Source organism: Homo sapiens, chromosome 2 (genome assembly GCF_000001405.40).
Source record: "Homo sapiens chromosome 2, GRCh38.p14 Primary Assembly".
In the NCBI taxonomy this organism is placed as follows: Eukaryota; Metazoa; Chordata; class Mammalia; order Primates; family Hominidae; genus Homo; species Homo sapiens.
The window spans coordinates 81,580,567-81,594,624 of record NC_000002.12 but is presented as its reverse complement, the minus strand read 5'-3'; the positions used below and the strand labels follow the sequence as shown (position 1 = coordinate 81,594,624).

The following is a 14,058-nucleotide window of genomic DNA, read 5'->3' as shown; positions in this document are numbered from 1 at the left end:
ATAATGGAACCAAAAGTGTGATTAGACCTTCATGCTCTTCACACAAAATCATAAATTTCACATGAGGAAAAAAGTTAGCTTGTTTAACTTAATAATGAGTTACTTTTCTTTGCTTCTCTGTATATCCTATGAATAAAACATACTATAAAGACAGAAAGTAATCAAATAGGGAATATTTAATATTAAATAATTGTATGAATACAATCAAATATTAAAGGGCTAGAAAGTGATCAATGCTACTTTGAACATTGTTTCACTGAATAATTTAAAATACGTTGTGTATTAAATTGGACAGCAAATTGTCCAATTTAATATACGACATATTTTAAATTATTATGTGCTACCCTAAGCAAAGAATTTCTGCATCATTTATGTGTGTGTGTGTGTGTGTGTGTGTGTGTGTATGTTAACTAAAGTTTTAGACCCCTTTGTCTAATTTATCCCCCTTCTTTAAAATAAAAAATTGACTTTACCCATGTCATGCCAGCAGGTTCTCTTCTTTGATATTTCCCCACAGCCACCATAGGTCTTAAAAACATCATTCACAAAATTTGAAAAAATAATAACAGCTGAAAACATTACTCTCCCAAAATTATTTATTTCCATAATTGTCTCAGCAGGAAGAAAAAGTAATTTCTGGTTTGGCAGATTTTAATATTCAGTTGGAATAACATCTGTTAAGGGTTTTTCCCAGTGTCCCACAAACTACAATTTAGGATTTTCATGTTCTTTGATTATGTCTGACAATATGTGTCTCTTTATCTGGCTTTTGCTTTCTCTTCTCAGTCACCCTAATATTCCTTTCCCAGCCTAGGTTATCCCATTGCCTAGCAACATCCTTTCCTCCTGCTAAATATCCACATTTCACATCAGTTATTTCTGGCTTCCTCCTACCTTAATTATTATTTTGTTAAACTAAATTCCTTTATGATAAACTAGTCTTTCATCAGAGCTATGGTTCTCAAACTTGGCTGCCTAGTGAAATAACCTGGAGACCTTATAAAAAGGCCTAAATCTGGACCTGGTGACATTAAATTAAATCAGAGACGGCGGAGGTGGTGCCGTGACAGTTTTCTAAGCTCCTCAGGTGATGCCAATATACAGATAGAGTGGAGAATCACTGTGTGAAGCTTTCATCCCATAACCCTGAAGAATTATTTAATCTTTATTCATCTCCCTTTCAAGGCATCCATTAGCAGATTGAAGTAGGACAGAGATTTATCTCTTCCTTTGGTGATTATAGGTAAAAGTAGTCATTAACGTGATCACGGCAAGGTCCATCCACAGTAAAAAAAACAAGCTTATGTATGTGCAGCTTCAGTACTTTTAGTCTACTATCAGATATTTTTCGTTGCTTAAGAGTCTTACTCATTCACTGAAGTCACTGGAAAAATTTCAGCAGGACAAGAGTATAAGCAGAGTTGCTCCTTAGGGAGACAACTCAAATGGCAATAGGTACAAGAGGAAGTGGAGAATCCCGGGACTAGCCCCCCAAAAAGTGGGTAAACTCAGAGAGTGATAATGAGTGCAAAGATGGTGAGAATACACCTTTCACTTACTGCCATCATCTGCTCAATGTTGGCAAGTATAATGAGTGAACAGACTTAGCTTTGCCTATTCACTGAAATACAAAAAGGACAATCCCCCAGCAGTGGTTTCCAAACCTAAAGGCAAATTATCATCACTGAGTACTTATAAAATCCCCACGTCCATTACATTCTATGCTAATTAAATCAGAATTAGGGCTGAGGCTAAGGCATCAGTGTTCTTTAAATTTTTCCAAGTGGTTCCAATATGCATCCTATTATGGGAACCACTCTGCTAATAAGAGCAGAACTTTTCAGAGAACAATTCAAACTTGTTTGTATTCTGGCTATGGTGTTTGGCCATGTTGAGGGGGTAAAGAGAAGCATTCCAACTCTTCCCTCTACTATCCTCTAAGAGGCTTACACCTGTACTGAGACTGGTTGACTACGGATTGCAGAACTGATTTCTGATCATGTATTTTCTGTCTTCCTAGCTCTGCCCTAGTCCCTTCACTGCTTTGTCTTTAAAAGGACATTGCAAATCATGTGGGGAATTATTAAAAGGTGACATGCCCCAAATTTGATTACATGGACCTAACTCTAGACATTATTTTCTAGGTAAGTAATCAGTTTTTCCTTTTAGTAGTCAATAAATGGAATCCAATTGTCAAATATCTTCAAGAGCCACGTTATTTCATCAGTCCAGCCAGTAATGGTATGCAGTTGACTTGATGATTGTCCTTTACTAGAGCCTAGAAAAATTGAGATTTTTTTACAGTTGTCTTACCCCAAAGCCTTTACAAACAGTTATCTCATGGTGCACAACATCTCATAGTAGTAACTGAGAAATTGGGAAGAGAAAATAACTTGTGTTCCTTTCCATTCAGAAAGTTCAAGTCCAGTTGAGGAAATCAAACATACATTTAAAGGTATTTTAGTGATTCTCAATTTTTAGGATGGCTATGAACCACCCAGCACGGTAGGAAAATGTAGATCCATAGGCATTATTTTTAAAATGTATGGTTTAATAGTTCCTTTGTGTTTTCCTGTAATTTCCAGGTTTATCAATCTGCTTTGATAATTATGCTGTAAATAACTTTCTAAGTCTCAATGTGCTTGTATATAAAATAGCAATATTAATAGCACCAACTTTTTATGGTAACTGAATTATATAATTTATGAAAAGCACTTAACAGCGCTAGATATATGATAAGTGGCAGCCAAGTTACAAATGTTATATGTCAAGTCATGCGGTATTGTGTTAGATTATTTTATATTATAAATAAATGCAAAACATTTTATGTAAAGAAGCTTAAACTATAACAAGTGAGGGGATGCAGACAAATGGTCAAGGTCAGCTGGAGTTAATTAAATAAGGCTTCATCATGTTGGTAGTTTTAAACGGCCTTGAATACGCAGTAAAAAAAATAGCAATTGCTCCTCTTAAGAAAAAATGACACTTTACCATAAATGAGAACATCACAACTAATTTAGCTGAATCACCTTGTTATTCTTACAAAAAGTTCCAGCTTTATGGCAACGTATTATAATATTGTAATTTAACATTTTTGAGCAATGCTTTTTGAGAACCATCTTATATCATTAAGAGTTTCTGGTTCGTGTGCATATTTTGATCAAGTAAAAGGCAAAGTAGTATCAGTCCAAAGCTGTCCTTGACTGTATGCATGTGGACATAATGCAATGGAAAGTGAAGAAACCATCTTGGCTTTTACAGTAATTGCAAGAGCCAGTGCTATCCACAGGGACTTTACCAGCTCCAAAGCAGTGGCTACAGTCATTTGACTAAGTACTCTGAGTTAAGAAAATATGCAAATATTTTGTACAGTCTAGAATAGAATATCATCATTCTAGTCAAGTGGATACATTCTCTTGTAATGCCTACGAGAGCAATAATAAAGTAGTTGTCTGAAAGAAAAAAACAGTAACAAAGCACCAAGAAAGACCCTACAGGATTCAGGGTTTATACCTCTCTAAAAAGGCAGGTTATGAAGAGCTTCAAGCCCCAAGCATTGATGTCCACACTGACTTTTTTCTCAAACAGAAAGAATGCCTTATTTTATTTAAGACAGGACATAGAAATCTATAATCATCCTGAAACAACACCAGGCATTTGACTTGGTAGACTGTGGTAAGACTCTGTGTAGGCACTCTCTTTTGAGGTTTTATATACACAAATTTATAGTAATCTCAATCCATTGATTCAAATCACAAATATTTATTGAGTACCCACTATATACTAGTTAAGGTTACATGTGTCTTGGGAAAATAAAGACAAATAAGACCTTCTATGCAAAAATTATGTGCAATCTAGGGGAGATTGACATGTGCCCAAGCATAATAGAAAACATAAGTGATACTTGATTTTTTTAAATGATGTCTGCATAAAGCCTTGGCATTAAAGCAAATACTTCAATGGAGGTAGAAACTGTTATAAAAATCTAGAGAACATTTTCAATTTATAGGTGCCTCTCATGCCTAAATCCTGAGTGTGGAGAATAAGAGTAAGCAAAGATGGTTTTAAAATGCCCCCATGGTGATTCTGATAAGCTCACTCTCACCTGTAGTAAACCACCCAATTAAAGGGAAGAAGAGTTCTTTCTGTCTAGGTGATCATGGAAGGTCTTAAGAAAGGGTAACTTGGAAATAATTCCTTAAAGTATTTCAGAAAAAGCAATCTTTGAAAAGAAAATATGTATATTTCACAAGAATATATGACAATATCAAAAGCATGGGGCAGAAAGTTCATGATTACTGATTTTGAGAGGGCATCTACCTTAAAAGCCTTTGCAAACGTACTTTCTGTACAGTGATGCTTTCGTGTAATGAATGGGAAAGGAGAAGACAGACACCTCAAGACCACCTTTTTACTGAGAGCATCTGCAGGGACACTGGTATGGTTAAACCAATATGGTATGTGCAGGGCCAGCTTCATGGGTGTGTGGCCAGTGCAGTTCTAAGGGACTTGCACCCAGGGGGTTAATGCTCTGCTGTTGTCTTGAAACTATTAATGATTTCATCTTTGAAATTTGTGGTTTGCAAGTGAAATCCAATGGGACAATGGAACAAATACTGGCTTTTAATCTTGGTTCATGGGCAATACCATCTCCCTGCCTCTCCAGCACAGATTCTCAACCACTGGCTCCCAGCGCCCTGAGGTCTGGGCTTGCGCAGCCTTGATATTTTCTCCCCTGACCAAGGATTAATACAGCTCTCCTCCTAGAGCAGGGATTGCATTCAGGAGGAGACCTGCATGCAGTCATGGTCCTTCAACCCTAGTAGGGGCCTGGGCAAAGTCATGAGGAATCTCAGGGTTGGATATGCACACTCCATGGTGCCTCAGGGTGACATGATCCCTGTCCTAAGCTAGCAGCCCCACAGCTGTTGGGAAAGTGACTTAGTGGGGATGAGGCTCTGGGCTGGCCCACCCCAGATGCAGGTACTGAGCATGTCTGATTTGTAATCCCTTGAGGATCAACTATCTACCATGGGCTGGGATGACAAGCTGAGGGAAAGGGAGATCGAATTCCTCATTCACGGCCAATAAACATGTCAGTTCAGCAGCTGGAAGGAGGGAGAACTCAGCAGCTGGTAAGTCACAAATGGACACAGATTCCTGGGCCAGTGCTCTGAGTGCATGGGAGACTGTACATAATCCCTGCAAATATCTGCATGTTGCAAAGAGGGTTATAGTAAATGGAAACTTTTTTTAATGCAATGTCAAAAAAGAGTTGTGAGAAGAAAAAAAAGTTTTATATTTTAGTACTTTTTATGTTTTTAGTGTACAAATACATTATAAACACCCTCCCACAAAGGTATCATTATCCCCATTTTCCTGCTATTACAACAAGGAGCCCTGAATTTTCATTTGCACTGGGCTGTCCAAATTATGTGGCTAGTCCTGGATCTACGATGGCTTTTATCTAAGTAGCCTGGGTCTAAATAAGGCCATAGGGCAAAATTCATGTGCTTGCCAATATTTGGTCCTTTTCTTTTTTGGGTATATCAATAGATCATATTCTAGCCCCTTGCGTAAAGACAAGTTTTGTAGTGAATTCTCATGGACAGAACATGATTGGAAGTGAGGTGGTCACCTACAAGCCAAGAAAATGAACAGGTGGGCCTTCTCTTTTGCTTGGTCCATCTTCTGGTTACACAGGAGACTGAGTTTCCAGATTGATGGATCTGGGACCCTCAATGACTTCATGATACAGAAACTCACCCCAAGGCTTCTCAATCCCCATGGACCCAACAGACACCAAATTCAGTGAAAAATAAGTTTTAGTTGTGCTGAACAATTTAAATTTGGGAGATATTTGTCACTTAATTACTCTACCTCAACTTAATACAAGTCATGAAAAAAGTCACCAAACAGTACTTATCTGTCTCTACTTCTAACCAAAACACAAAAGCTCTGTCTTAAATCAAATTCCTTTTGAAACCTTTTTGGAAGTCTTAGGGTATGAGTTGCATATATTCTGAAAATTGTACTATGAAAAAATCATGCTAACTTTACCTTCTCTTCTTCTCTTGTCTTAATATATCTTTTTTAAAAAAAAAAGAAAAAAAAGATAAGGGTACTCCATTTAACCTTGGGATGTAGGCTTCGGATCAAATTCAGAAAAGCAGGATGGCAACAGATAGACATGATAGAGAGGAAGCAGGGAAAGTGTTACTTCTGCATGTGAATTGGAAAGTTAAAACAAATCCATCAGAACTTATATAAGAATGTGACTCATCAGTTGTTTGCATAGCGTCCAAGTAAAATTTGAATCTATGAACTTAAAGAGAAGGAAATACTCCAGATCAGTAGATTCTATGAAAAGCCTTGAACCTTCAAACCTTGAACCTTGCTTGTCCATGCTTTCAGCTTCTTACATACTCAAATTTTATTCATGGACAGATGTGCTGCTGAAAGGTTGAACTCTGGTTGTCAGAGCATTACAATGGAAATGGCCACATTCACAGATGAAAGGCATGATTATTGTTCTATTTCTAAGCTCCATGATTATTGTAGGTTAAAAGAAAAATTAGCTTTGAATTTCTGTCTCAATTAAGCCATTTGATAACCACGACGAAATAAAAACACAGGAGTTTACCCAAGTATATATTTGGATTTCACATAACCCATGGAAGAAATAAAAATCCTAGATTTAGTCATCTCTTTCACCTAAAACATGAAACCAAGGCATAAGCTCTATTTTACAATGTTTTAAATACAAGTAGTCCTCACTTGGCACAGTAGTATGGGACTGTAAAAATGCTAATAAAACCTGAAATCTACAAAAGGATCTTAATAGTCAATGTGAAATATTTCGATTATTCCATGACCTTTACAATTTTTATCAAAACATTAAATCACTGTCAGTTATACATTTATAGAACATTTTTTAAAGTAGACCTAATATCTTTGAACACCATATTTTAAAATGTTAGAAACATGGGAATTAAAGTTTAAGAATAGTTTGACGTCAGGCACAATGGCTCACGCCTATAATCCCAGCACTTTGGGAGGCTGAGGTGGGCGGATGACGAGGTCAAGAGATCGAGACCATCCTGGCCAACATGGTGAAACCCCGTCTCTATTAAAAATACAAAAATTAGCTGGGGGTGGTGGTGCGCACCTGTAGTCCCAGCTACTCGGGAGGCTGAGGCAGGAGAATCACTTGAACCCAGGAGGCAGAGGTTGCAGTGAGCTGAGACTGCACCACTGCAGTCCAGCCTGGCAACAAAGTGAGACTCTGTCTCAAGAAAAAAAAAAAAAAGAATAGTTTGAACATTGCTTCCCTGCCTGTTGTTGTATAACATGATAAAGAACAGGTATCTCTTCTATGCCTTGGCAAAGTGTCATATTCCTTTCTAAGGTTAGATCAGCTTCTAATATTTAACTTCTTGTAATTTCAATGTCATAAAATATTTTCAAGTGCATTTTTTACACAAGCACAAACTTTGCTGTCTAGGTGTGAACTAAATAACAGATGTTCAGTGGCCAATAACCAACAGACTTTGAAAAAAATTATATGATTGGTCAGTCTTCATGATGTGCATCTGTCTTTGTGTAGTGATTGATAGACCGAAGAGCTATAGCAGTGAAGTTTGTACTTCTATCCAATTACAGTGCACATAGCATGTTTACTGAAATCATGTTGTTGGGGACTGGTGTTACTTAATTAAAGCATTGTAACAGAAATGTATGCAAATTGGAATCCTATAAACAGAGGGCTGCCTGCATTTTGAAACATTTTTAAATATATAAAATAATTTAGTTTCAGATATTATTCAGCATTTTTGCCCATGTTTTCCATAACAAACACCTCTTTAACTTCTTTTATAAAATCACTATTTTTATCAATTAATGTCCAAATATCAGATATGAATGAGTAACAGTTGTTATAAAATATTATGTATTGCTGGCCAGGTGCGGTGGCTCACGCCTGTAATCCCAGCAGTTTGGGAGGCCGAGGCGGGTGGATCACGAGGTCAGGAGATCGAGACCATCCTGGCTAACACGGTGAAACCCCGTCTCTATTAAAAATACAAAAAAATTAGCCAGGAATGGTGGCGGGTGCCTGTAGTCCCAGCTACTCGGGAGGCTGAGGCAGGAGAACGGTGTGAACCCGGGAGGCAGAGCTTGCAGTGAGTTGAGATCTCGCCACTGCACTCCAACCTGGGTGACAGAGCGAGACTCCGTCTCTTAAAAAAAAAAAAAAAAAAAAAAAAATTATGTATTGCTTCACCTAAAGTCAGTTGAATTGAGCAAAACTGACTCATTTACTTTATTACAAGTTAACTAATTGTCGAATTACATTGTACAGCATCAAACACATGGACCCACTATTTTCATAGAAGAAAGCAAACCTAGATGGACTACTGTAATAAAATACTTTATTACAGTTCCATATAGGCTTAGAGAGGGCATAGATGTTATAGCTCAGCACAATAACACAAGTTCTGTCTCCAGTTCACCTGAAACATTAACGTTAACTGAATGACACACTTGATATTTTTAGTCCTTTACTGCACAGTTTCTCTTTGCAATTTGCAGTGTTTTGGATTTTCCCACGTGTTAGAATTGGATAATATGGATCATGTAATACAGGGATAGAAATCTTAGACATGTAGTTAAACTGCCATGTGAGTTGCATCCCTGATGCTCTCTAGGGTGAAGATAGGAGAGAGGAAGAAGAATAACGTTTATTAACCTGTATTTGCCCTTTATACATGCTATTTCACTTAATTTTCATAGCCACCATATGATGAAAGCATTGTCATCCCTATTTTAAAATAAGAAATGGAGTCTCAGAGAGAGAATGTACATTGCTGAAGGACACAAAGCTAGTAAGCGATGGCCTGGAGATTTATGTCCAGTTTTGTCTAATCCCAATATTCACAACGTTTTTTATACCAGCAGGTAAAACACTTTTCCATTCATTGCAGATATTTTATTTGATGTATAATTGAAATGATGAAATGAGACAAAAGACAGCCAGTTACAATAATCACAAATTCATCAATGTCATGTCATAATATTGTGTTGTGCATCATAAAAACACCTACAGTGATTACGTTCTTCGCATTATCCCATAGGACTACACCAAGGCCTTAACAGAAGTATTTATTGACAGATCCTGCTTAATCCCAAATGGATTTAGTGGTGACACTGAACATCTGTGGTTGTCCCCTACTATATATTCAGCTGGTCTTAAGCAAGGCTCTTGGAAGGAGACGCACAATTCCAGCCCTGCCTAACTGAACTTGTTTTTAGAATATAATGAGATATTACAATCCAAGAGCCTTATAAACTTCAACATGTTCTATGGAATACATTATTAAGAAGTTGTATGTATTTTTTGCAGGTAACAATAGAGCGACATTCTCAATAGGTAATTTAAAGAATAATTTGATTTCATGTGCCTAGATCACTTGAGACAAACTCCATTTGCTCATACACAAATGTGGTTGATCTGAAAAAAATCATTCTCACAAGTGCCTCTAAAATTTGCTATATAACAATAAGTAAGAAAGGTAGCCATCTAGTCACACACTGCTGGCACTACAGAATTAAGGCATGCTGCCTCTAGGTGGGTCTCCATTCTGATATATTCACTGGTCATTATTTTGAGTGATATAAATGAGTAATACCTCAGAAAGCTAGCAAGCTAATGTTTTCCTGAAGGCAACGCATAAGATATTTTAAGAAATAACCTTATAGCAAGTCTAACATTAATGTGAAATACTGTGAATTGAAAATCCCTGAACTGGGAAATAAGAGAAATGCCAGTTTCTAGAGACTGTGGAAATCAACACATTCTACTGTATCTGTCCTCACAACTTCAACTTGCTATGTAAATGGAAAAATAAATTTATGTCTTTCAGGTCTAAAGCAAATAAACCAGAAGTTTGAGTTACATATTGCTATAAAAAAGGGCCAATGAATTGGTGTCCTTGGCGATAAATAGTAAGAACAAACATACACATATTTTTGGCCATTCAGACTTATTTTTATTTACTTATAACATCCATTTTCTTTTTAGAGGTTTTAAGGTATCTCATTGAAAATTCTAACAAAAGCCCTTGAGAGATACAAAATAACACTGTAAACATTTAACACATAACATAACTGAGATAAGGAGTCAGTAATTTATCCAAAACAAACAGAAAAAATAATAATAAAGTGGATCCTTGTATAAGATAATTTTAAGCCCCTGGAATTGTTTTCTCTAGTACAATTGTACAATTACTGAACATTGACAAATATTGATTGCTTAGAATGTACCAGCACTTGCTAAGTACCTTTCTTAAGACCTGCCATCCTTTGTAAGTTGATTTTCTTCAGAGGGGATCCTGAAATTAAATAAAATAATCCCAAATTCTTTTAGAATTACATTGAAAAGATGATGTTGCTTTTAGAATCAGATTGTTATAGGACTTTTGGGGTGTCGATTTTCTGGCCAGAAACCTCTGTGGCTGGTTGTGCCTTTGCTCGAGTTCTTGCTTGCGTCCGGGTAGAATGAGGTATGCAGACAAGTGGAAGGTGAACAAGATGAAAAGAAGCTTTATTCAGCATTACAACAGATCAGAGGAGACCCGCAGTGGGTAGCTCCTCTCTGCCAGCAGGTCATCTCTGCAGCTCTCAGCAGAGAAGGTTGGTAGCTCCTCCTGGCAGCTCTAAGCAGAGAGGGTAGCTCCTCTCTGCATCTGGCCTTCCCGTCATCTCCAGGTCTCAGCAGAGAGGCGTACTTCTCTCGGCAGCTGCCTATCCTGTCGCCTCTCTGACTCCTTCACCTCTGGCCTTCCTCTGCCCTGCTCAGGCTGCGCCCAGGGCTTTTACGGACCTCAGAGGGGAGGATGTGCTTGCTGATTGGTCCATGGGTGGCTATGGGTGGCCCAGAAGAGGCCCACGAATCCCCACTCTGGTCGGTGGGACTGGTAGCCCAGCCACCAGCCTTCAGGCCCTCCCTGGCTTGAAGGTCCCCTTACTTGGGATCTGCCACCTTCTGCCCAGGAATAAATCTGCCTCCTGCTGCAATTCACGGCCCCGGGGCTCAGCACCAACCCCCACTCAGATATGAGAGCATGCACCGGGAGCCGAGAGAGGCCAGGCAGAAGAAGCAAACACCTCCAAGCCTGCAAGGATATGGGTCTTTCCTGGGGCCCCCAAGGGTGCAGGCTGCAGAAACACCAGGGTCCTGCACCTGGGAGGGCGGTCGCAGCTGCACCCGGAAGCTCCCAACCTGCCAACCTGGAGCCTCCGATCCACAGCCACAGTTTGGGCAGATGCAGGGGCACCTGGGGATCTCTTTCCCCACATCAGAAGGGGCGGAACTCCCAACACCTCCGTGAAATGTGCAGCCCCAGTCGCACCTCTGTGTTGCAGCAGGCGTGATAGCAGCAGCCACGACAGCAGCAGCCACTGCCATCAATATCACGGGTGTATAATCTGTAAGCATATTAGAATAAGCTGAGGTCATATACATCATTGAGAGCTGTAAGAGGAGAGAGGTTGGTGTGTCAGAGATCTTATAAATGGCACAGTTTAGGGTATTGTCAACATTCAGGATGTGGCCATGGCAGTAGATTGCTGAAACAGAGTAGAGATGATAAAACCAGGGGAGTTGAAAAGAGCAGGAAGTCTGACACTATGATTCAGAAAAGGTTCCCTGGATAGAGCTTTACTCTTTCAGATCATGGCCAGTCTCAGGGGGTTCACAGCATGCTGGATGTTCCTTTCTTGTCTCATCTGTTTTGTTTCTCCCTTTTTGCAAAGACTGGCTCTAAAACTGGCAAAGTTGATCGAGCCAGATATTTTAAAATAATTTACAACTCTTTCTCGTTGCTTGATTTTCACAGTTGATTAGTTCCAGATTTCAGTTATTTTATATCTTAAATCTCAGTTGTATTTCTCTTCATCCCTTTCCCCTCTGTCTTTGTTTTTCAAAGCTGCTTTTCAAGCTTTCGTATTTCCAGTTGGACTATTTTTAAAGCCTTATAACACCAACCTTCATTTCAATTAATCTAACATGACTGTTGTAGTAATCTTCCAAAAATGAACCATTTTTTTTTTCAAATTCCATAGCTACATATTGCCTCAATGCTCTCTGAAAACTCCAGTGTCATCATCTCTCTGTATCGTTATCTTACTAATGGAATTATTATTCCACTGGATTTTCTAAGTTGGATCTTCTTCCTCTTCCTTAGTTTTTTATGTAGAATTTGCTGATTTTTCTACTTTTGATTCAGCTCAAATCAAATGTGGTTAGTGCAATTTCAAAACCATTACAGTTTCATCCTTAAACACAAATTCTTTTTTTAAAGTTCACACCAACATATATTTTGTCCTATAACCCTCCTTCAGTGGCTTCCCTAACTGGTTCTAGAAGAAGAGGTTCCAGAAGTTGACTTAGTGATAGATGGATAAAGATTGAACTTTTGAGTTCCAGATAGCCTGTGAAAAATTCACCAGGGGATTAACTTCTTCTCTGCTTTTTCTTTTTTCTTTTTCTTTTCTCCCTTTAGTAATTTATTTTCTCGTCCTTTTCTTTCTCCCTCTTGCTGTATCCCTCCTTTTTTCTCTCCTTTCCCTTGCTTTTCTTGTTTTCTTTATTTCTCATCTAGCAAGAAGGAAGACAGGGCAGACTAGTGAGGTAAGGAGATTACACAGGCAATTCTACGTCTATGAAGATCTAGGAAGAACATCAAACTCTTCACTTCAGTGACCTGCAGAAGTATAGATCCTGTTCTATCATTTCTATCAGTTTTCAAGTTTCACCCGTTCTCCTGTACTCTTCTTTCTGTCATGTTTCTACTTTCTTGTAGAATTCTTCATTCTGGTTCATATGTAAAATTGAGGTAAGTTTTTTAGTTAAAGGGGAAAAAACTTTTTTTTACAATACATTATGAGTAGAGTAGAATTCACTGACATTTCAGTTGGGAAAGAATTGGGATGGATGAGTGCTAGAAGATTTTTTATTGTACCAAAAAATATTTTTCAAATAGAATAGAAGGTTTCACCATTTTTAAAATGGTTTTCAGCCTCCATATTATAGGTGAATTTTACTGTCATTTCTCACCTTACACAATTTCTCTTTGTTTATTTCCCCTCATTTTTCCTATGCATGTGTTCTCCCTTCATGTTCCCCTTCTCCTCTTCCTTTAGCCCTTTAAAATCAGGAGCAAAGATAATTTTGTTGTTGTTGATTGTCTTATAAGAGTTAGCTTCCTTCATCTCCAGGATCTTGATGTCTGTCTCCCTCCATGCCCATGTAATTTATGAAGGTAACTTTATGAACTGTAAACAGTCAAAAGTTCATGAATAGAGCTGAGAATAAACTTTTATTTTGAGATTTCTCTTTCCCTGAATTCACTTTGCCTTACTTTTACAGCAGGATCAAGATGCTGTGTTCCCTATTGTTCCTCACTTAACATTTAATTACCAAATCCTGACACTCTCTTGTTCGTTTAACGGTCAACTTTACTGAGCAATTTTCTCTACAGTTTTTAGTTTGGTGCTAGGGATCTTGAGAGAAATATTACAGTGATTATGTGATGTGAAGCTTAAATAATTTTAGAGGCCTTCTTTTACACAAAATGGTGATTATAAACAGGTATGACATTAAATATTTATAATCAGTAATCACAACAAACTGCAAATTTTAAAAAGCTAACCAATACCATGAACAACTTAAAAATAAAACACAAAATGAGATAATATTTGTATTCATTAATAGCCTTGCCGTACTCTATTCCATTCCCCCTTCCCTGTCTTACATTTTTGGCTGCAAAATCACACCCTTGTAAGACAAGACGTTTATACTAAGTTCTATATAGAATAAAAGAAAATAATGCGTTATTTTACTATGGTATTTGTTTATTCACTGTAGTCTCTTTATTTCTACTTCACAAGTCATTACTGGTGATATCATGAACATTTTTAGGATTCTTGTCAAATTTAGGAAAATGTCTATTGAGCTTCATTCACAGATGAGTTCTGAGTTTCTTGACATTGCAAGTTTTC

General features: G+C 37.9%; 1 long non-coding RNA gene across 25 annotated transcripts in view; it reads right to left on the bottom strand.

Moving 5' to 3' along the window:
• LOC102724542 (uncharacterized) overlaps nt 1-14,058 on the bottom strand; it is a 368,996-nt gene that overhangs the window by 256,109 nt on the left and 98,829 nt on the right. For 5 of the 25 annotated variants that reach the window (NR_187713.1, NR_187711.1, NR_187708.1 and 2 more), the window contains one exon: nt 10,030-12,655. The exons of 14 other annotated variants lie outside the window; for them this stretch is intronic. This is a non-coding gene — a long non-coding RNA (uncharacterized LOC102724542). Of the gene's footprint in view, nt 1-10,029; nt 12,872-14,058 lie in introns of those variants that run through there. 6 more of the 25 variants (NR_187710.1, NR_187705.1, NR_187714.1 and 3 more) reach the window with 2 other exon arrangements.